This window comes from Homo sapiens, chromosome 1, assembly GCF_000001405.40.
Source record: "Homo sapiens chromosome 1, GRCh38.p14 Primary Assembly".
NCBI lineage: Eukaryota > Metazoa > Chordata > Mammalia > Primates > Hominidae > Homo > Homo sapiens.
This window is the reverse complement of record NC_000001.11, coordinates 143,497,776-143,521,300: the sequence shown is the minus strand read 5'-3', so window position 1 is coordinate 143,521,300 and position 23,525 is coordinate 143,497,776. Positions and strand designations below refer to the sequence as shown.

The window sequence follows — 23,525 nt, the reverse complement described above, 5'->3', positions numbered from 1 at the left end:
TAATGAAAATGCCACTTTCTACATTAAACAGAAACTGAAGGGAATCAAGGTGAATTGCATGAGACATAGAAAACAAGTGGGAAAGAAATCTAGTATAATTTGCCCTTTGTGTACCTTTATTATTTAGCGTTTGAGTAAATGATTCCCCCAAATATCTTCCCATCTCAATTCATGTCTATAAAGTAGACGTTTATGTCTCACCTTGTCAAGAAGGGCAAAGTCTAACATAAACATTTCCCAAAAATGCTTCCTGCTAAAACGTAAGCTCAGTCTGGCTAGAAATGCAGCTCACTTCCTAAAGATTAATTGGTAGCTAATTTTGCATGCTGTTCTCTGAACTTGAGTGTAACCTGTCCGTCAGGCATACAGGGAATGACGGGAAAGGTGACAACAGAAGATGAATGCTATGTCACTAACCTTCAAAGATGACCTGCCTTTTCTTTCAAATTCTTGATATCTTATGACTTCATTAATTCATCTCTCTTTTCCCTTGGTTCAACATTTTGCTATACCAAAACTCATGTGAGACAATGACCTAATGTAATAAAAATGGCATTTTTCTTTCATGTAGTTGCAAGCTAACTGGCATTTTTACAATCCACATATTTCCTTTGTCAATTTTTCATTCTGTATTGGAAGTAATTGATGGGTATTTCTGAAGGGATGAAGGTGTTTCTGTGTTCATTGTGATCCAAACTATTTCTAGACCTAGGGGCCTTTGTAAACAATTTGTGCCCACTGACCAAGGATCACTGTGGCAGAAAGCAGCAAACTTGCATAAGATGTCACTGCTTCATAGGTTGGCTTTGAAAACTAGGGGCTTACTCTATACTCTTATGAATAAAAGACATTGATAGATGTAGTATAAGATTACAATCATATTTTCCTTTTGACAGTCACATTATAAATCAAGATGTATTGCAATTAATCTCAATTAGCTGATCACAATTAAAATTAATAATGTTTATTATTGCTGATAAAAATCATGTCTCTCCTGTTCTCAAATGTGCAAGTAATTCTTGTAATTTTAATACAAATTTGCATATTATTATTAATTGATTTAATCTCATTGGATTTGGTTCATGGATCCAATTTATTAAAATATTGATAATGGGATAATGAGTTGTCTCCCCATTTCATGTGCATTAAAAACAACATTTCTTACAATGGTCTGCAAGCCCATCATCATCTGCCGCATGTTAACCGCCAAAATTATTTTATATCTTCACCCTTGATCTTACCAGTGGTCCTGGCCACTTCACTGTCCTCTGGACATACCAACATGCTGCTGCCTTACGATCAAGACTCTAGTTAATTTTTTGGCTTGGAAAGATAGCCCACCATATATCCATTGATCAGCTCATTCAACTTCCTCAGGTCTTTACTGAAACTTCACATTCTCGATGAGGCCTATTCAGTATTTCAAACTGCATCCCAGTTGCAACATTCCAAAACCCCTTACTCTTCTGTGTATTTTTGAAAGGATTTATTGAGATATAATTTACATAGTGTAGAGTGCACACATTAATGTCTACAAGTCAGTGGCTTTTAGTATATGCACAGATAAGTGGAGCCACCATCACAATGAATTTTAGAGCATTTTCATCACTTCAAAAAGAAACCCCACCTTCCCTAGCTGTTAACCTCCTATGCACCCATCCCCTACTCAATCCTAAGCAACCACAAATCTGTTTTCTGTCTCTATAGATTTTCCTATTCTGTTTTCATCTAAATAGAATCGTACAATAGGTGGCCTTTTCTGCCCGGCTTCGTTCAGTTGGCATAATGCTATCAAGGTTCATGTACGTATTGGTACTTTATTTCTTTTTATAACTGTATAACATTCAATTTCATGGATATAACATTTTGTTTATCCAATAATATTTTTATTGACATTTGAGTTGTGTTCAGCCTTTGGCTATTTTAGGTACTGCTGCTAAAAATACTTGTGTACAATTTGTGTTTGAACACCTCTTTCCAATAATCTGGGTGTATACCTAGGAATAAATTTCTGGGTCATATGACAATTCTATGTTTCATATATTTAGAAGCCATCAAATTATTTTCCAAAGTGGTCAGTTCTAGCCATAGAGTATCTAACTGTGGTTTTGATTTGTAGTTGCCTGAAGAGTGATGCTGTTGAGTATATTTTTATGGGATTATTGACCGTTCATGTATCTTCTTGGGAAACACATCTATTCCTATCATTTATCAGTTTTGAGTTGGGATATTTGTGACGGAGTTAAACCAATTTTTCTATATTCAAGATACATATATATATACAGACATATAGATACGTGTTTTTCAAATATCTTCTCACAATTTTGGAGCTGCCTTTTGACTTGCTTGGTTGTCCTCTGAAACACCGATGTCTTTAATTTTTAAGAAATTTTAAATATCTAATTTTTATTCTGTTGCTCATGTTTTTGGGGTTACAGCTATTTCTTTGCTAGATCCAAAATCCTGAAGATTTTCCCATATGCTTTATTCTACCTCTTGCATGTGTGTCTTTAATTCATTTGAGTTAATATTTTTGTATGCTTTGGGGTAAGGGTTCTAATTTATTATTTTGCAAGTGGTGATCCACGTGTACGTTGTTGACCCAGTGTGTTCAAAGACTGTCTCTTCCTCATTGAATTGCACATGGCACCACCTTAAGAATCCATTGACTGTAGACACATAGTTTTATATATGGACTCTCAATTCTCTTCCATCAATCTATATATTTTTCCTTCATCAATGTTGTGTTGTCTTGATTACTGATACTTTGCAGTAAGGTTTGGAGCATGGGGTGTGAATTATCCTAATATGTTTTCTTTCTTCAAGATTATTTTGGCTATTTTGAGTCCCTTACAATTTCATGTGTATTTTAGAATCAGCTTGTCAGTTTCTAGACACAAGTCTGTTGGGATACTTGCAGGGATTTCATCAAATCTGTAGTTCAAATTGTAAAGTACTACAATATCAAATCGTCCAATTCATGGGTGTAAGGTGTTTACTAATTATTTAAATATTCTTTAAACAATAATTTTTAATTTTCAGAGTAAAATCTTGTATCACATTTTCCAAATTAATTAATATTTCCTTTTTTTATGCTATTTTAAATTGAAGTGTTTTCTTAAATTCATTTTGGGGTTTTCATTGCAGATGTGTGCAATTGATTTTTGTACATTTACCTTGTCTGCTGTAATATTGCTGAAATAATTTACGAGTTCTATCGTTCGGTGGATTCCTTAAAATTTTCTATATACAACAATGTTATTTTCAAATAAAGTTTTATTTCTTCCTGTTCAATATGGATGACTCTTATTATTTTAGTTGCCGATTTGCCCTGCATAAAATCTTTAGTACAGTGTTGACTAGAAGAGGTCAAAGTATATATCCTATTCTTATCTCTGACCATAGCGGGAAAGCATCCTTTACCATTAAGTTGCCTGCTTGCTGTTGGCTTTTCACAGGTGCCATGTATCTGGTGTAGAAAGTTCTCTATTCCTGGTTCATTGAGTTTTTATTTTTATTTTTAATCATTAAAGCATTTGGATTCTGTTAAATGTGTTTTCCGAATCTATCGAGATGATCATGAATTCTCTTTTCTTATTCTATGGATAAGATGTATCACCTTAATGGATTTTGGGCTGTTAAACCAACCTGGGATTACTTGTATAAATTTCACTTTGTCATAGTGTATAATTCTTTTATATGTTGCTAGATCTGATTTGTTAGTATTTTTTAAGGAATTTTGCATTTATACTTATAGTAGTTTTATTTTTCTATGCTATTTGGACTAATTTTTGTATCAAAGTAACACTGGCCCCACAGAATAAATTGGAAAGTGAATATTTCTCTTTTTTAAAAAAGCTAGTCAAGAATTAATATCAATTATTCAACACTAACAAATATTATTATTATAAAATATTAATTTCTCTAATTTTAATTTTCTTCCTTCTGCTTGCTTTAGGTTTAGTTTGCTATTCGTTCCAGTGCCTTAATGTGGAACGTCATCTTATCTCATCCTTTCCTTTGTCTTTTCATTTTGTAAGTAGTGTCTTGTTAGCATCAGGTGAGCTCCCCAGGTTGGTAGTACTCCATGTTTGTTGCTGTACAACAATGACAGGTAATATGTCCTGAAGACAATGGAAACTTAACCTTCAAAATCTCCTAGATTCCACCTTATATGATATGTCTCTTCTATTGGTCCTAATTTCTACCCTTTCTCTATTATAAACCATGAGTACAATGGCATTCAATGAGTTCTGTGAGTCTTTCTAGTAAATTCTTGAAACTGAGGGTGTTCAGGGGAAACCCCTGAACTGGCAGTTGGTGTCAGAAGTGAGAATCTTCTTACATGGCCTCTTCCTTTGAACTGTGCAGCTGGACGCAAACTCTGCACAATTTGGGCCAGAACTCTCGTGTTGACTTTGTAGCCTAAAGTATCTTGTAGTTTGTCTAACCCTCAATAAATTTGCTTTCATCAAATATTGTATTTGTTACCCCAAAATTACCATCACGTTTTTTTTTCTCCAAATAACTAACATAGGAGAAATAGCCAGCTGAGTTTGTAACTCAACAGAAATAAGTGATCCATATACCATATACCATATAAGTGGCCATTTCATTTTGCCTTCTTCCACCAAATCTTAGCAACCTCAACCATTACCATGAGCCACTGTAGGCCTACCAGCTACAAACAAACGAGTATCTTGTAAAAACACTTCATACTCCCATTTGATAATTTTCCCAGCAAAGAGATGCCTACTTTAACTCTATGCAAGTGGCTCATATTCACGAAGTCTGTAGATATTATTCATGTAGAGTGAGAAAATCATCCCAGCGGTGCCAGCACATTCTCCTTCCCATGATCTGCTTAGTTTGCAAACATATTCAGGCCATGGGTGAGAGATTTGTATTTCACAGTACAACAATTTTATGGAGGGCATTGAAACTTACATTGAGCATTTTAGTACAGTCACACATCACTGAATGATAGGGATACGTTTTAACAGATGTATTCGTAGGCAATTTTACCATTTTGCAAACATCACAGAGAGTATTACAAACACCTAGATTGTACAGCCTACCACGTTTAGGTTATATGGTATAGCCTCTTTCTCCCAGGCTACAAATCTGTGTACTACATTACTGTACTGAATACTGCAGGCAATAAGAACACAGTGGTAAGAGGTTATGTATCTAAACATAATTAAACGTAGAAAAGTATGTAAAAATATCTATTATAATCTCATGGGACCACTTTTGTATATGTAATCCATCTTTGACTAAAATGTTATTATGCATGACATGACTCTATGACAAAAATAAAATAACACATTGTAAAAAAATATACACAGGTATCAAACATATTAATATTGTAAAAATAAAAATATTTATTCAGTGTAAGAATTTGTAATGATCACAAAATGTTCACAGCTTATATTTTAGTACAGTTTCAAATGCCTAGTGCAATTGCTATTTATTTCTGTATTTTAAACATGTATATAATAAATATTTTTCAGGTTCAACAATATATATCAATCCAACTGGCTCTTATAAATATTAGTTAACATCAATTGGTAAATTCATATATATATATACACACACGTGACTCAGTCTGTATGCGTGTATGTGTGTGTAAATGTAACTGTATGTGTGTGTAAATGTAACTGGATGCATCCTAATATTTACCCTTACCTACAAGATTTCCAAGACTCATTTATTCTCTTTAAATGGTGTGCCTTGAAAGATTTACCAAATAAAACCGCAATCGTGGAATATATCAAGATGTTATTAAATTCATCTTGTGCACATAATTGTTTCTTTAAATTTATGTTTCTTGCAAAACTTGCGGTAATGCTCATGCACAAAATAATTTTCTAAATAAAAAATAAAAACATTTTCTCAGTCATTAATTCTTAAAAAGTATTTCTCCCCAGTAATTAATGTGAATTAATTCTTAATTCTTAATTATAGAATAATGTTGCCCTTCAGAGTTCTGAATCTTTTGCACGTTGTATACATTTTACTGACTGGAACATCTTCTGGAATATTGGCATTAATTAATCTCACTCAGCAATTAATGATTTCAAAGAAATTAAATACCATTCATATTCTGAATCACAAGGGTACTTTGGCATCTAATTTAATCAAGCTCTTTGTATCATCATCTACACTTTAATTACTTAACAAACATTTCTCTGTGTGAGAAAGATTGAGCAGGTTATTGTGCTTTTTTATGATGCAACTTTTGCTTAATCTAGAGATAGGCAATGCTCCCTATAAGGGACAAAGAGAAAAATGAAAGAGCAATAGAGATGTGACAGGCATGGAAAAAGACAATACATTTATAAAACAAATAGGGCCACAGATGATGATAATGGGGATCAAATCTTGAGATACTGACTCAGTTTATAACCGCACTGTACAATAGAGCAAATCATTTGTTAATTATTTTACAAATGGAATCTAATTTAACTAAGATGAATACAGTGTTTTAAACAAGGCAGGTCATCTTAAAATAAAATAGTGGGAAAAGTGATAAAACCAATGTAAAAATCATAAACATTTTATAAAGAATTTTTGTCATGTAATTTAATATTTTTCTTTATTTAAAATCACCCAAATCAAAATAATTTTATCTTAATTAACAAATAATCATCGGAAGTTAACTAATTTTTACTTTATAATACTAGGTTTAAAAATTCTTCACTATATTTTTAATCATACATGCTTATACATAAAATAGACATAGGGTATATGTTTACATGTTCACAATATTATATTGTAATTGTTCCTATGGATGTGGTTTTTCAATAGAATTAATAAGTACTTTTAAAAAGTTTCAATTTCAATGATATATATGTTTGATTTTTCTTTGACAAAGCATACATATATTGATAGGTAATAATAAGAAAATCTTCTAAAGACATTACAGGAACATGAATAAGTAATTAAATCCTCAATAATTTGTAACGTTTTATGTAAGCGGAACACATTTAACTGAAAATTGCTTTTATATAATACTCAAACGAGACTAAAAACATATTAACTAGCGGAGTAAGTCTTCAAATTGATAATCTGAACTATAAAAGAGGAGAAACTTCAAGCACTCAAATATTTGAAATGCTACAAAATATTTATATAAACTATTATTTAACAATTTCTGTTTGTAGAGTGCTATAGAGTAATCGATGTAAATGACATCTCAGTCTTTCTATAGCTTTGACCACATTTACCTCCTAATTTTAATTATTAATATGTTGGAGCAGTGCATACAACTAGATTCCGATCTTCCTTTTTAATGAGTAAAAATATGTCCTTTGAGACAGCATTAAAGAAAGAGCACCTTGTATAAATTCAATGCCAAGAGACAAGATATTCTTGATGCTGAAGTCTTGTTCTTTTATACAGCAATGTAATTAATAAGAAGAAGAAAAGCAGGACATAGAGATGGAGTCTATTTTCATCAAAAATTGTCTATAGATTTTGATGATAAAATTTAAAACTCTACTATATTTAGTTAGTCACAAAAAACGAGGTTGTGGGAACATATTTGGTCAATAAAACACCCCTACCAAATGCCGACAAGAAAAAAAGTTAGGTACCACCTTTCTTCTCTGCAGATGGCCTGAGATGGGTTAATTTGAAAGAATGCTTCCAAACCTGAGGTGACCCCTGAGAACAGCATAATCCACTGCTGTCTCCCACATTCAGTTTCTCAGTCTGTGCTCTTTTAATTTTGGGGGGAGGGAAGCCAGTCCTTTAAAGCGATCTTCAGCATGATGGCAGAGCCAAGGAGTGTGGACAGGTGGCACGGTGTCTGATTTTGTTCCAGCAGCCACTTGGGCTTTCTTTGGGTCTTCTCTGCGCTCGGGATAGCACTACTATTGAAAACATGTCTTTGTGACATTCTCTATGCCAGGAACTCCAAACATATTTTCCTTGAAACTGATGAAATGAAAAAAAAATAAACCAAGAGGTGTGCTGTTTGTTTCTGTTTCCTCCTTTCTGCAGCCCTTCTTGATCATCTAATATTTTTAAATACATTGTCGATCACCAAAAGGAGCATAAGGGCTTTATTGGTTTGTAGCAGATGTATTCATAGCCCAGCCCCTATTCCTTAGCTGTAGCTGCTGGGAAGAAAACCATTCTTAACACTCTACAAGGTCTCATCTCCAGAATTTGCACCAGTTTCTAGCTGAGGACTTTCTCTAGCAGCACGGGAGCTTGTTACTGGGCATGAAGTGGGAAGAAAAGGTGAGGGTAACTAAGAAGAATCTCCCTGGATTCAGTGATGTAATTCTGAGGCATGCTCCACATAGCTTCCCATAATATTAAGCCCAGATATCTAACACAGGAACTTACCTCTTAACACGTGTGGTATTGGCTTTTCTGTCTTTCCTGTTTTATTTTGTTCTCTTTTCCTTGTCTCACTTTCGCTGTGTCCTCACTCCTGCTTTAAGAATACCCAAACAAATACGTTCATTTATTTTTTTAGACTCTCAGAACACAGTTGATAGTTGAACTTGTAATCTATGATAATCAGCTTGGATGCTGTATTGACAGGAAGATGGTGAACTCACAATGTCTAATTAAGATACAATTTAAAAAATATATTGAATCATGTCCAAAGACTTAAAAAGCCTAAGCGGCAGCGTCACAGTTTCTTCTTTTTAGTTTGCATGGTTTCTTAAATGCCTACAATTATTTTAAAGGAAGCCTTGAGTCTAGGAAAAATTGAGACATATGGAATAAATTACTAACCCATTTCTCCTTGAAATCCATTAGATGTTTGATGATTCTTCACATATATTTCTGAACTGAAAAGCTAGTTGGGAATTATTTTTATAAGCATATCCTTATGTAATATATTGTTTCTAAGAGTGAATGGAAGGTTTAAAGATTAAATTATTCTATCCAGAGAATAAAAAACAATTATTTCACAAGGAGAACATGTGTATGTTGACACGACATTTTAAAATCTAGATTTTAAAATAGGTCCCATATAATTTTGAGTCAATTAGAATACGTTTGTATCAGTCTGTCTACAGTTTTACACCTGTCAAATGTTACTTGAACTAAAAGAAGTACCTTGAACAATTTTGAAATTTATTATTCCTCTGAAACTGATGAAAAGAATGACGGTAGAGTGAAATTTGGATTGGCATAATTTAGGAGAGAAATTATTCCTTGGAGATCAACCTCTGCCAAGATAGTTTACAATGACATTGATACTTTTTGATTTACACAATTTGTTATATAAAAAATACTAAGACGATGACAGATAATACACAGACTTTAATTAAAATTGTACTAAAATTAAAAGTCTAAATAAATTACAAGTGTACGTGGTACACCTAAACGTATGTTTATATATTTTATTTGTGCATTTTATTCCTAGGGTTCCTTTTGCTTTAGTTTGTAAAACGTTCTTATTTTTATGGCAGTGTAGTATATACTAAATAAAGAAAAATCAGGAAATAGAAAATGAAGAAGAAAACATTAGCTATTGTCAACCAAATAAAAATTGTGCAATCTCTAAGTACATGAACGATGTATTATTTGTACAGCATGTACAATGTTTATGCTTCACAGGGTGAGGTAGAGACTGCAAAACATTGAACCTGGGACAAATAAGAAAGAAAGGAAATTTTCACAATATATTAATATTACAGAAAATGTTGAACTTAACAGTTAAGATACAAGTAGTGAAAAATGATAGTATTTAAGGAGATCTAGAAAATGTCATCCATACCAGTAATGTGTGAGAAGTATTAGAATAATGCTTGTATTTCTGGATTGGCATCGATTTCTATTGAGACTGGAAACATACTAGAAGTGAGCAAAAAAGAATTTAAATAGTGGATACTTGAGTTTTATACCTAGGAGTTCGAGAAATACATTTTGTTACTGTCAAAGCAGTTGGCACAAGAGTGTACAAAATTCCCTAATTGTGTCTATGTGGTGAAGACATAGACAAACAGAAAATAGCAAAACAGAAATAGCAAAAAAGCACAAATAAATTTTACCTGTATTTTTTACGTAAAAGCCAATTAGAGTAGGAAAACATGAAATTTGTGTTTTATCGAAATTTTTCTCTTATAGTATAGTTGATTATATTACTGGAAAAAAATTGAAGCATTGGTATGTTCACAAAAAAAAGTAAAAGATAAGGTTAAAACCATGGGAATGCAGGGAGCAGACAAAATACACCTAAACACTGATACTGATTTTGCCCTACGGACATGTAGCAAAATGAATGAGTGCAGATTCCTATGGTCATACATCACATAGGACAGTAAAGAAATACATAGTGTTTCCCAAGATAGGGCATCACACAGGAGCTCTTCCCTAAAGCTAGCACCAAAATTTATCTCCTCAGTATAAAGAAGAATCAGAGGTAAATTAGTCTCATTTCACATTCCCTGGAAATGGCAAATAAAAATGACTTGAGATTGGACAGATTTAAAGAAACTCAATCATTAATGATTTACAGCAATTAATTTAAAAATTGTTTAAATGTGCTGTCCAAACATACGTCCAAACACCTTTAGGCCAAGAATTAATATAATGTGGTCCCAGAATGGTGGTGCCTTTAGTAGACTCACAAAAAATTCAAATTCTCTTTGGCAAATTTTCTTCTTACTAATATGCAAAAGTGCACAATAATAATTTTCAGAGAAAAATAAATCTTTGTCATTCAAAGGCATCTAAGTACGCAAGGAAATGATATTCCACCATTTGAAAGGAAAGCAGAAAAAGAGTACAAACAGATCCACAGAGGTTCATTAGTAGAAATATCACTGTTAGATTATAAAGCACATTTGCTTTCAAAAAATTTAAAAAAAGGAATATATTTTTAGGAGACTAAAAAGTTGATGTAGTAAATTTGAAAAGTAGTTTGTATATAGTATTTTAAATTAAAAACTCAAAAATGAACTCATCAGATTAGACATGGCCATGGTGAGAGCTCATAAATATTTCAGAATGCATTACAGAAAATTTAAAAAAAGGCACAATGTGGACAGAATCATGAAGAGACATGGAAGATACAGTGAGAAAGTGTAGCATGTGTTTAGTGAGTGTTCTCATAGAGGAAGGGAACGGGGAAGGGACAATATGTGATGGTATTTTGGCTGAAAGTTCTCTAGAGTTCTGTAAGACACTAATCCACATATTCAAAACTTCTATGCATGCTAAGCAAGCTACGATGGAGATAAACCTACATCTACATATCTCCTAGAGAAATAGTAAACAATCAGGAAGGGAAAAATATTTCAATTAGCACTAGAAAAATCAAATTACCTTTAATCATATTGAAATCTGAAAGCATGAAAGGTAAAATAAACAATATTATTTGTTAAGAATAATAATGCCATTCTGAAATTCTCAACCAAGAAAAATATTCATCAACCTATGGCTAAATCACATATTTAGAGACAAAAAACAAAACACCACCAGCAGAATTCCACTAAAGAAACTCAAAGGAAACTCTGAAAACACGCTTCAGAAAGATTGAAGTTCTGAAATCAAAGAATGAACACAGAGCAAAATATATTGTAAACATAAAGATAGATCAAAATAGAAAATTAGGTGTTGAAACAAAAGAATATTTAAAATTAGGTAAGCACTGCAATATGTATGTTAGGAAGCAAATTATTAGGGCTGAAGTATTCAAAGACCCCTTAATTGTCTGACAAGAGCAGAAAGGTATGACTTTGCAATTCTTTTTTTTTTTTTTTTTTTTTTTTTTTTGAGAAGGAGTCTCATTCACCCTTTCTCCCAGGCTGGAGTATGGTGGCGTCATCTCCGCTCACTGCAACCTCTGCCTCCCAGGTTCAAGCAATTCTCCTGCCTCAGCCTCCTGAGTAGCGGGGATTACAGCCGCGTGCCACCCTGCCTGGCTAATTTTTGTATTTTTAGTAGAGACGGGGTTTCACCATGTTGATCAGGCTAGTCTCCAACTCCTGACCTCGTGATCCACACGCCTCGGCCTCCCGAAGTGTTGAGATTACAGGCGTGAGCCACTGCGCGCGACCGACTTTGGAACTTTAATAAATTGACTGGACATTATGCATTTCTCTGTTGTATCTATGAAAACAATAAAAATAAAAGTCATAATTTTAAAACAAGAAGACAGAAAGTGATAGGAGAAAATGAGACATTTTATATATATATATATATATATATATATATATACACACAACAAATTACTAATACAAAATTAAGTATAAATGATCAAAGATTAACTTAAACCTAAGTAGACAATGTTTTTGTTAAAATACAAAGATTGGCAAAATTTAAAACATCCATCTCTATCATAGTTACAAGAGACACAGCTAATATATAAATTTACAGAAACTTTGAAGTTCAAACAATACAGATACTGTGTATATATGATATACATACAAACACACTACATTTTTTAAAAAGTTGCTATGTAGACCAAATAGAATGTAAGTTAGAAACATTTATTAAAATAAGTTAGTGTAAACAGTGTGATAAAAGTTTTAAGTTATTAAAATGTGATGACTTCAATGTGTATTAGCCTGATACATACATATATATATACACACAAACCACACACTCTCTCTCACACACACAGACACACACGTATTTAGAGAGAGTCAAATTATATAAAGCAAAAATATCAGAAAGTAAGTAGAAATGGATAAGCCCCCAAATATTATAGACATTTCAAACACACGTCTTTCAGTAATAGATAAAAGAAAAAATTAAAAGAGTAAGTTTTAAAAGAAGCTAGTGGATTTTAAAACGGGCAAATATTATATAAGGAACTTGAATATTATAATTCATGTTATTTTCATGTTCATACAGAATACTTACAAAAATTAACATTTTCTAGACCATACCACAAATTCAAACAATTTTCACGGAAATAACGTGACACAGAATATATGTCCTAAACAAACAGCAATGAAGGCAGATATCAATACAAAAACGAAAGTTAGAAACATAAGTGTAATAATATTGGTTGGAAGCCATTTTATTGAATATTGAAATATTTTAAAGGTGAATAGTCACTACAAATAAACCAAACACTTTTGTGAGGCCACTAAGATGCATGTGTAATGTGTAATGCCTCCTTTTATAAGGAGTAAATCTGTAACATCACCTGGGCTATTTGACAACTGCAAAGTGAATGTGAGAAGGAGAGAAACAGTGAGAGAGAGAGAGATAAAAGCAGTAAAATAAACCTAAAGAATGAAGGAGATAGCCAGGCGCCATTGTTCACGCCTGTAATCCCAGCACTTTGGGAGGCCGAGGCAGGTGGGTCACCTGAGGTCAGGAGTTCGAGACCAGCCTGGTCTAACATGGTGAAACCCACTCTCTACTAAATATACAAAAATTAGCCTGGCATGGTGGCATGCATCTGTAACCCCAGCTACTCGGGAGGCTGAGGTGGGAGAATTGCTTGAACGTGGGGGGTGGAAGTTGCAGTGAGTAGAGATCACGCGACTGCACTCCAGCTTGGGCGACAGAGCAAGACTCCGTGTCAGAAAAAAAAAAAACAAAAAACAAGATAGAAAAAAACGAGGAAATAGTACACGAAAAAGCAGAATTAAAGCAACTGGGTATATATTTAAAAATGCAAAAGCTCACTTTTTCAGAAAAATATTAAAATATTAAATCTAACAAATATCTAGGTAGACTGATGGAGAAAAATACAGAAAATGCACAAAAAAGCAATTACCTGGAATGCGAACGTTACAAAACGTCAGCAGTTGTAGATTTTAAATAAGCAATGATTTTTGAGTTCAACCATGATGGGGTATATTGAAAAGAATCTCTCAGAAAAAAAGAAAAAGAAAACTGTTATAAAGCTATGTACAAAATGTTAAGCACTATTAAAGTCTTCCAAATCTACCAGTTACGGAGTTATTGGTCTTGGACTAAGACTCCTGAAAAGAAAAAAAACAAACAAAATAAGACAATACCTAAAAACCTGGATAAAATGGCCTACCGTGGGCACTGGCAATGCATCCAAGCAGGTAGGACCTGGGTGCTACATTCTCTTTGTCAGAACACAAAGCATTCATACACTCTTCTCACCCTCACTTTCACCTTTTAATCTTTGATCTACTATTAAATGTATTCAACATTACTATCAATCCTTTGCTCAAAATTTCTTTACTCACATTTTGCTTGATGCACTTGGATAGACTGTTCAAGAAAGTGTGAGTAGTGAATTCCTCAAACTCTTGCATATTCAAAATCACATTTTTGAACCTCGATGCTTGAAGTGTAGCTTGGGTAACAGATGGGCTTTAAGCCAATTTTGGCATGCAAGGGGTTGAGTTTATTAGGCATCAGCACCGCTGAAAATCGTGGGGATGCAGGCTTAATTTCAACACTATTCTAAATACTTGAAAGATATTATATAAGTCTTTAATAAACTCCTGTGTCTACAAATGGTTCACATTAACTCAATATCCATGATGAAACATCTATAAAATCAAGGCACTGTTATTTAGTGGAGACTTGCTGGCTATTCTATGAGAGGAGGTATTGTTATTGTAATCTCATCATCTCATAAAATTGTATCATATTACTCATAACCAGCCCTTCATATTCTATTCCTATTTTGGTATTTTAAAATAAGATATCTTTGAAATTCTTGAATTCAAAGAGGGAATCTGAATAATTTTTAAAATGTCAATGAAATGCCATTTCTTCATGCTTCAACAACTAAAAATTGACTAAAGTGCTTCTCTTCAATCTTTCTGGGACATTTTTTATCTAAATTCTAAGAACAATCACAATAGGTTTTAACCACAAATGTGAGAATATTCTAAATGTTAGGGTGGAAAAAATTTTTAAATATTTTATAGTAATTTTTTTCATCATAGTGACAGTGTGCTAAATTTTTTTAAGCCAACTATTACTGTAGACATTTAAGTCAGGATTCTAAGAAGCTGTTCTAAAGTCCAAAATTCAGTTTCATATACACTGATATTATATATATATTTGCTTAAAAAATTAATACATGTGAGCCGTGTTTCAAATAGTTGAGAGATTATTATATCAAAGATTCTTGATTATATAAAATGCCAATTACTTATAGGCAGACATGCTTTAAATAATTACTAAGGCAGTTGTGGTTGATTCTACTCTTGCTACTGGCATTTATATGGACATACTATTATGGTCTGAAGAATATTTAGGCAAATTTATCCCTCATATGATCAGAAGAACAATGCAAGATAGTTTATATCTGAAAGGAAAAAAATCTTTATATGGTTCTGAAAGCGTAAATCATTAACAACTTGGATAATAATTAGCATAAAAATACACAAACATGCCCTCTTCCTAGCAGTAAGTACACAGTGACAACAGAATCAAAGCATGTGGCTATGTGCATGTTTATATTTCAAGACGCAGAGCACTCTATTCCTCCTCTCTGCCCTTTCTAGATGGCACAATCCCTCATAAATCTAAGTGCAGTCATAGGGTGGATTAGGGTGACCTGCCATTTGTATGCAACTGATCTCTAGTTTGGAAGTAATTAATGTCAAAATATATTTTTAAAAGGTAATTTCAAATTTCAGGGCAAACTAGCATGGTTTCGCCCCTTTTCTTTGGAACATTTTTTCTAAGGTTGGAAAAGTAAGGTAGGCTTTAGTACGATTTTAAATAATAAGTTTTCAAAGTGAGACGCAAAATGGTGGCGCCAACACATTTCAAATCTGCTACATTTTGAAGACACTTATTGGAGAAAAGACCTTCTCATCATTTTTCTCTTACAGGAAAGGAAATAACACGTACGGTTGACCCTTAAGCAACACGGAGGTTGGGGTGCTGGACCCCCTGCACGGTAGAAAATACACTATAACTTTGACTCCCCCAAAACTTAACTACTAATAGCCTACTGTAAGCCTGACAAATAACACAGTCAATTAACACATATTTAATATGTTATATGTCTTATATACTGTATTCTTAACAAACATGCCAGAGAAAAGAAAAAAGAAAATCATAAGGAAAATAGATTTACTAGTTATTAAATGGAAGTAGATGATCAAACAGGTCTTCATCCTCATCTTTCTCATGGGCAGGATGTGGATAAGGATGTAGAATTGTTGGTTTTGCTAAGTGGACGTGCACAGTTCAAACCCCTGTGGTGCAAAGGCCAACTGTATAGCCATTGAATAGCAATTTATATTTAGAAATTAACCTCACTAAAATACTCTTAGGAAGATGCCCAGAAAAAAAGTGAATAAGAATTTTTGGTTCATCTATTACATCATTTCATTTCATTATTTCATTTCTTTTCATCATTTCATTTCATTTCCTCATTTCATCCTTTCATTTCATCATTTCATCATTTCATCTCATTTCCTCATTTCATCCTTTCATTTCATCATTTCATCATTTCATCTCATTTCCTCATTTCATCATTTCATTTCATCCTTCCATTTCATCATTTCATCTTATCATTTCATCTCATTTTATCATTTCATTTCATTCTTTCATTTCATTTCATCATTTCATCTCAACATTTCATTTCATCATTTCACTTCATCTCATCATTTCATCTCATCATTTCATTTCATCTCACCATTTCATTTCATCTCATCATTTCATTTCATCTCATCATTTTATCTTTTCATCTCATCATTTCATCATTTCATTTCATCTTTTCATCTCATTTCATTTCATCAATTCATCATTTCATCTCATCATTTCATCTCATTTCATTTCACTTCATTTCATTGTTTCATTTCATTTCATTTCATCACTTCATCTCGACATTTCATTTCGTCATTTCACTTAATCTCATTTCATCTTTTCATCTCATGATTTCATTTCATCTCATTTCATTTCATCTCATTTCATTTCATCTCATCATTTCATTTCATCTTTTCATCTCATCATTTCATCATTTCATCTCATTTCATTTCATCATTTCATTTCATTTATTTCATCATTGCATCATTTGACTTCATGTCATCATTTCATATCATTTCATCATTTCATGTTTTCATTCAATCATTTCATCATTTCACTTATTCATTTCATTTCATCTTTTCATTTCCTCATCATTTCATTTCATCCTTTCATCATTTCATCTCATCATTTCATCCTTTCATTTCATTATTTCATTTCATAATTTCTTCTCATTGTTGCATTTTGTCATTCCATCATTTCATCATTTCACTTCATCTCATCATTTCATCATCTCACGATTTCATCTCATTTCATCTCGTTTCATCTTTTCATCTCGTCATTTCATTTCATCATTTCATTTCATCTCATCTTTTCATCTCATTTCATTTGATCATTTCATCAATTCATCATTTCATCATTTCATTTCATTATTTCATCATTTAATCATTTAACTTCATTTCATCACTTCATTTCATTTCATCATTTCATATCATTTCTTCATTTCACCATTTGATCTTCTCATTTCATTTCATCATTTCATCATTTCACTTCATTTCATTTCATCATTTCATTTCCTCATTTCATTTCACCATTTCATTTCCTCATTTCATTTCATCATTCCATTTCATCATTTCATTACATTTCATCATTTCATCATTTCACTTCATCTCATCATTTCATCATTTCATCTCATGATTTCATTTCATCTCATTTCATCATTTCACTTCATTCTTTCATTTCATTTCATCATTTCATCTCAACATTTCATTTCATTTCATCATTTCACTTCATCTCATCATTTCATCATCTCATGATTTCATTTCATCTCATCATTTCATCTCATTTCATCTTTTCATCTCGTCATTACATTTCATCATTTCATTTCATCTTTTCATCTCGTCATTTCATTTGATCATTTCATCAATTCATCATTTCATCATTTCATTTCATTTCATTATTTCATCATTTAATCATTTAACTTCATTTCCTCATTTCATTTCATTTCATCATTTCATATCATTTCTTCACTTCACCATTTGATCTTTTCATTTCATTTCATCATTCCATTTCATTTCCTCATTTCATTTCACAATTTCATTTCATCATTTCATTTCATCATTCCATTTCATCACATTTCATCATTTCATCATTTCACTTCATCTCATCATTTCATCATCTCACGATTTCATTTCATCTCATTTCATCTCATTTCATCTTTTCATCTCGTCATTTCATTTCATCATTTCATTTCATCTCATCTTTTCATCTCATTTCATTTGATCATTTCATCAATTCATCATTTCATCATTTCATTTCATTATTTCATCATTTAATCATTCAACTTCATTTCATCACTTCATTTCATTTCATCATTTCATATCATTTCTTCATTTCACCATTTGATCTTCTCATTTCATTTCATCATTTCATCATTTCACTTCATTTCATCATTTCATTTCATTTCCTCATTTCACCATTTCATTTCATCATTTCATTTCATCATTCCATTTCATCATTTCATTACATTTCATCATTTCATCATTTCACTTCATCTCATCATTTCATCATTTCATCTCATGATTTCATTTCATCTCATTTCATCATTTCATTTCATTCTTTCATTTCATTTCATCATTTCATCTCAACATTTCATTTCATTTCATCATTTCATTTCATCTCATCATTTCATCATTTCACTTCATCTCATCATTTCATCATCTCATGATTTCATTTCATCTCATCATTTCATCTCATTTCATCTTTTCATCTCGTCATTACATTTCATCATTTCATTTCATCTTTTCATCTCGTCATTTCATTTGATCATTTCATCAATTCATCATTTCATCATTTCATTTCATTTCATTATTTCATCATTTAATCATTTAACTTCATTTCCTCATTTCATTTCATTTCATCATTTCATATCATTTCTTCACTTCACCGTTTGATCTTTTCATTTCATTTCATCATTCCATTTCATTTCCTCATTTCATTTCACAATTTCATTTCATCATTTCATTTCATCATTCCATTTCATCACATTTCATCATTTCATCATTTCACTTCATCTCATCATATCATCTTTCATTGCATTATTTCATTTCATCTCATCATTTCATTTCATCATTTCACTTCATCTCATCATTTCATCACATCATTTCATTTCATCTCATCATTTCATTTCATCTTTTCGTCTCCTCATTTCATTTAATCATTTCGTTTCTTTTCACCTTTTCATCTCATCATTTCATTTCATCAATTCATCATTTAATTTCATTTTTTCGTCATTTCATCATTCACTTCATTTCGTTTCATTTCATCATTTCATACATTTCCTCAATTCATCATTTCATCTTTTCATTTCATTTCATCATTTCATCATTTCATTTCATTTCACTTCATTATTTCATTTCATTTCATTTCACCATTTTATGTCATCATTTCATTTTTCATCATTCCATTTCATCATTTCATTTCATTTCATCATCATTTCAGCTCATTATTTCATTTCTTCATTTCATCATTTCGTTTCATTTCATCATTTCATCATTTCATTTCATCATTTCATCATATCATTTCATTTCAGTGATACATGTATTTAATTGCTAATGCGATGCCCAGGAGACACCCTATTTCCCTTTCTAAAACACCTCCTTCAACAAAAGGCAACTTCTCATGGCTGGCTAAGTCTACAGGGATAGCAGCCTCTCCTCAACCACCCAATTTCATTTAAAACCTCAAACAGCACCTCAGTTTCATAAAAACCTAAAACATAAACACAACACTTGGTTGTAAGTGAGCCGACAGTTTCTTGTCTCTTTCTCTGCTCAAGGCTTAAGGCTGTGTCTCCCCAACTACATTCAGTGGAAGAGAAGATCCCATGGACAAATAAGTTTGAGAATTGTTGTTGCAGGAATTCTCAGAACTTTCAAAACACAAATCTTCATCCGCAGGGATCTTCAGGAGGGAGATGGCTGATGCAGCACAACTTTCTTTCAGAGGAGTATCTTGCAGAATACAGTATGAGATACAGAAAGGCTGCATTGAGTCTTTTTAATGGCCCGGGCCTTGGTGAGGGTGGGGTAGGAGCTCTCCAGATAGCATCTAATGAGTAGGAACATTCAGGTGGCTTTTTTTTTTCCTTATTCGCAAAACTGTGTGTACACCATGAATGAAGCTGGTCTCCCTTATCCACGTCAAAACTAAACCTAAATTAATTGGCTAAATTGGGACTCAACACCTCCAGGAGCCACGCGGCAGAAAGCCCCAACACACTTTAAATTAGCTTGCCTCATCATATTTGAGGAAAGCAAAACGCTTATGACCAGTATGCTGCTAATACAAGTCTACAGATAATGCTGTATGAAAAACTAGTTTTCCCAATCATAGCTGGCATAGTCCACATTTTGCATTACACTTTCCCCCCCCTTTTTTTAAATTTTAAACACAGGTCTTTTTCTCTTCTTTTTTTCAATTTTAATTAAATTATACAAGACAGAGTCTCAGTATGTTGCCCAGGCTGGTCTTCAACTCCTGAGCTCAAGCGATACAACCGTCTCCGCCTCCCAAAGTGCTGAGATTGCAGGCCTGAGACACTGTGCCTGGCCTTAAACACAAATCTTAATTCATTCTTACAATTATTCTGAGGTTACAAAAATGGAAGGGGAAGAAAAATGGCAAGTAGGTAGGCTGACTTCGGCTTCATTATTTGGAAGGACAGTTTGCTCGGTTAAAACACACTACTGCCTACAAAGGCCAAGACAACAGAAAAATACAGACTTACATAAATAGATTTTATATGTGACAGCAGTTTGAATGGAGACTTTTTCAATGCAATGAGAAACAGCTGTGCTTGGGAATAAATGACAACGAATTTTTTTTATCTCAACAGCTGTCCTGAGAGCATGTCTCTACATCTCTACCTGCATTCTGGAATCAGGGAGAAAGCCAAAACGGACGACAAGACACTAGATCAGCCGTGTCCAACCCTTTGCCTACAAGGACTTTTCCACCTATCTGTGGTGGTGGGTAGCATGAAAATTATGCACAAACCTTTTTTTTTTTTTAACCCCATCAGCTGTTTTAGCATTAGTGTATTTTATGTGCGGCCCAGGAGCATTCTTCTTCCAATGTGGCCCTGAGAAGCCAAAAGACTGGACACCTGTGCACTAGATCAAAAGGCTACTCCTTCTGGAAGCAATTGTAAAGAATTTCTGACATTATCTTGACATGAAAACCAATGGGTAGTGGGACAGAATGCAAAATCTTGAAGAATTTTTCTTGTCTTTTTTTTTTTTTTTTTTTGAGTCACGGTCTTGCTCTGTGGCCCAGGCTGGAGTACACTGGTGAGATCAGAGCTCAGTGCAGGATCAAGTGCTCCTCCCGCCTCAGCCACAGTAGTAGCTGGGACTACAGATGCGCACAACCACCCCTGGCTAATATTTTATTTTTTGTAGAGATGGGGTCTCACTATATTGTCCAGGTTGGTCTCAAACTCCTTGACTCAAGGGATCCAGGAAAGGATAACAGGTGGGAGCCACCACACCTGGCTATGTGCATGAACTTTTAAGACAAACACAAGGCCCCACAAAAGTTAAGGTTTTTCCCACCTAATTTCCAGGGGGATCTTTTGGTGCAAGGCTGAGAAGCCCTTAAAAGTACACAGACAACTCCAAAGATTCAAGACAGTTCATTTGGGCTGAGCCAGCCCACTGGGCAGACTGACCTTCCAAAAAGACCCACCCATGACATACACCAGATGGCTCTCCAAGAATCTCTTCAGTCCTCAGGGTCCCTAACGTACTGGACAGAGCTAGGAAAGCAAACCCATTTGCTTCTTCCTGCAGGAAACCCCTTGAGGTTAAGACCCCACAATCACATGAGGATGGAGTGGCTCACCCTCAGTCAACAGGCCAGACTCAAGGTGGTATAATGTCTTAACCACGGGTGCGGGCCTCCAGGTCTGACTCCCAACTCAGTTCTTCTTTAATAACCACACTTTGTTAATTTTCCTTAACAGGGGTTCCTGGCAAGTCATTTCTCCCTCAGGCCTTCGGTTTCCTCACCTACAAGATGAGAGGGCTGGACCAGATGGAAATTCAGGGGGTAAGGGGATGTCCTCACGCAGCCCACCCCCACCCCCACGGGACCCTGGAGCCTCCATCCCAGTTCCCACCACGCACCCGCTCCACAAATCCTGCCCAAGGTGAGGGCTGGTCCTGGGTCCCCTGGTGCCGCATCAGCGAGTGCAGGAGGGAGGGGAAGCCTCCAAGGGGGTGACGTGGGCTCAAAGATGCAACTCGGCCAGGAGTGAACTGGGGCCCCGAAGGAGGTGTCCGGGCCGCTCCTGGAGCCCAGCCCGGGTCCCCGAACCCCTTACCTCCAGGGTCTGTATCTCCTGCTGGGTGAGGTCGTTGGACACAGCGCACTTGGTGCACAGCCCGCACAGGCTGCCAATGAAGATGACGATGAGCTTCTGGAGCTGCCCGCACTGCTGCAGCGCCCGGCTGGCCGCAGCCCCTGTGCCACCCTCCGTGGCCGCCGCATCACCCCCACCACCGCCCTCCTTCTTCTCTCCCATCGCCTCCACAGGCAGCGCCACTCTATGCAGGCCACAGGGGCCTAGGCAAGGAGCCTGGGGCGCCGGCGCCTAGGCAAGGAATCCCTGAGCCAGGAGAGCTGGACCAGGAGCACCCCTCAGAGCTGCCCTTGCCAGGACGCCAGTAGAGCTGGCAGCCGAGTCTGCCGCTCCCGCCCTCAGAGCCGTGGCGGCGGGGACAAAAATCCTCGGCGGCGGGGGCAAAACGCCGCGGCGGCGAAAAAGTCGCTGCGGCAGGGGGACAAAAAGCCGTGACAGCGGGGCGCAAAAAGCCGCGGCGGGTAAAAGGCCGTGGCGAGTAAAAAGCCGCGATGGCAAAAAGCCGCGGTGGGCAAAAAGCCACGGCGGCGGTGGGGCAAAAAGCAGCGGCGGTGGCGGAGGGGCAAAAAGCCGTGGCAGCGAGGGGGCAGAAAGCCGCGGCGGCAAAAAGCCAAGGCGGCGAGTGTGCAAAAAGCTGTGTCGGCGGTGGGGCAAAAAGCCGCGGCGGCGGGTGTGTGGCAGAAAGCCGCGGCGGGCAAAAAGCCGCGGCGGCGAGGGGGGCACAAATCCGCGGCGGGCAAAAAGCCGCGGCGGCGCGGGGTAAAAAGCCGCGGTGGGCAAGAAGCCGAGGCGGGGTGGAGGCAAAAAGCCGCGGCGGCGGGTGGCAAAAAGCTGCGGCGGGTAAAAGGCCGCGGGGGCAGGGGGGAAAAGCCACGGCGGGGAAAAAGCCGCGGCGGCGGGGTGCGAAAAGCGGCGGGGGGCAAAACGCCTCGGCGGGCAAAAAGCCGAGGCAGGGTGGGGGCAAAAAGCTGCGGCGGCGGGTGGGTGGCAGAAAGCCGCGGCGGTGAGGGGGGCACAAAGCCGCGGCGGGCAAAAAGCCGAGGAGGGGTGGGGGCAAAAAGCCGCGGCGGCGGGGGGCAAAAAGCCGCGGCGGGCAAAAAGCCGAGGCGGGGTGGGGGCAAAAAGCTGCGGCGGGTGAAAAGTCGCGGGGGCAGGGGGGAAAAATCCACGGCGGGAAAAAGCCGCGGCGGCGAGGGGGCAA

The 23,525-nt window shown here is 35.7% G+C and overlaps 2 long non-coding RNA genes and 1 pseudogene across 4 annotated transcripts, besides 1 other annotated feature; 2 read left to right on the top strand and 1 right to left on the bottom strand.

Annotated features, from left to right (window-relative positions):
• Positions 1 to 5,360: 5,360 nt before the first annotated feature.
• LOC101927452 (uncharacterized) lies at positions 5,361 to 22,618 on the bottom strand. 3 transcript variants are annotated; one of them, XR_426810.5, is made up of 7 exons: positions 22,286 to 22,618; positions 21,805 to 21,971; positions 13,709 to 13,802; positions 11,966 to 12,084; positions 9,749 to 9,825; positions 8,359 to 8,449; positions 5,361 to 7,941 (listed from the first exon to the last, which is right to left on the bottom strand). It is a non-coding gene; the product is annotated as an uncharacterized LOC101927452 (long non-coding RNA). The 3 variants fall into 3 exon arrangements; XR_002958627.2 differs by lacking the exon at positions 22,286 to 22,618 and having other exon boundaries at positions 8,359 to 8,446; positions 21,805 to 21,964; XR_002958628.2 differs by lacking the exons at positions 9,749 to 9,825; positions 22,286 to 22,618 and having other exon boundaries at positions 8,359 to 8,446; positions 21,805 to 21,964.
• Positions 20,773 to 22,018, top strand: LINC02799 (long intergenic non-protein coding RNA 2799). Its single transcript, XR_002958629.2, has 3 exons — positions 20,773 to 20,930; positions 21,753 to 21,829; positions 21,926 to 22,018. It is a non-coding gene; the product is annotated as a long intergenic non-protein coding RNA 2799 (long non-coding RNA).
• Positions 22,126 to 22,419: a silencer, noted in NCBI's record as "tiled region #1883 duplicate 1; K562 Repressive non-DNase unmatched - State 22:ReprW". NCBI's record gives its function as "represses a minimal TATA promoter and a strong SV40 promoter by Sharpr-MPRA in K562 cells {active_cell/tissue: K562}" and the evidence as "EXISTENCE:reporter gene assay evidence [ECO:0000049][PMID:27701403]".
• The window catches only part of KMT2CP3 (lysine methyltransferase 2C pseudogene 3), a 37,547-nt pseudogene continuing 36,555 nt past the window's right edge, over positions 22,534 to 23,525 (top strand).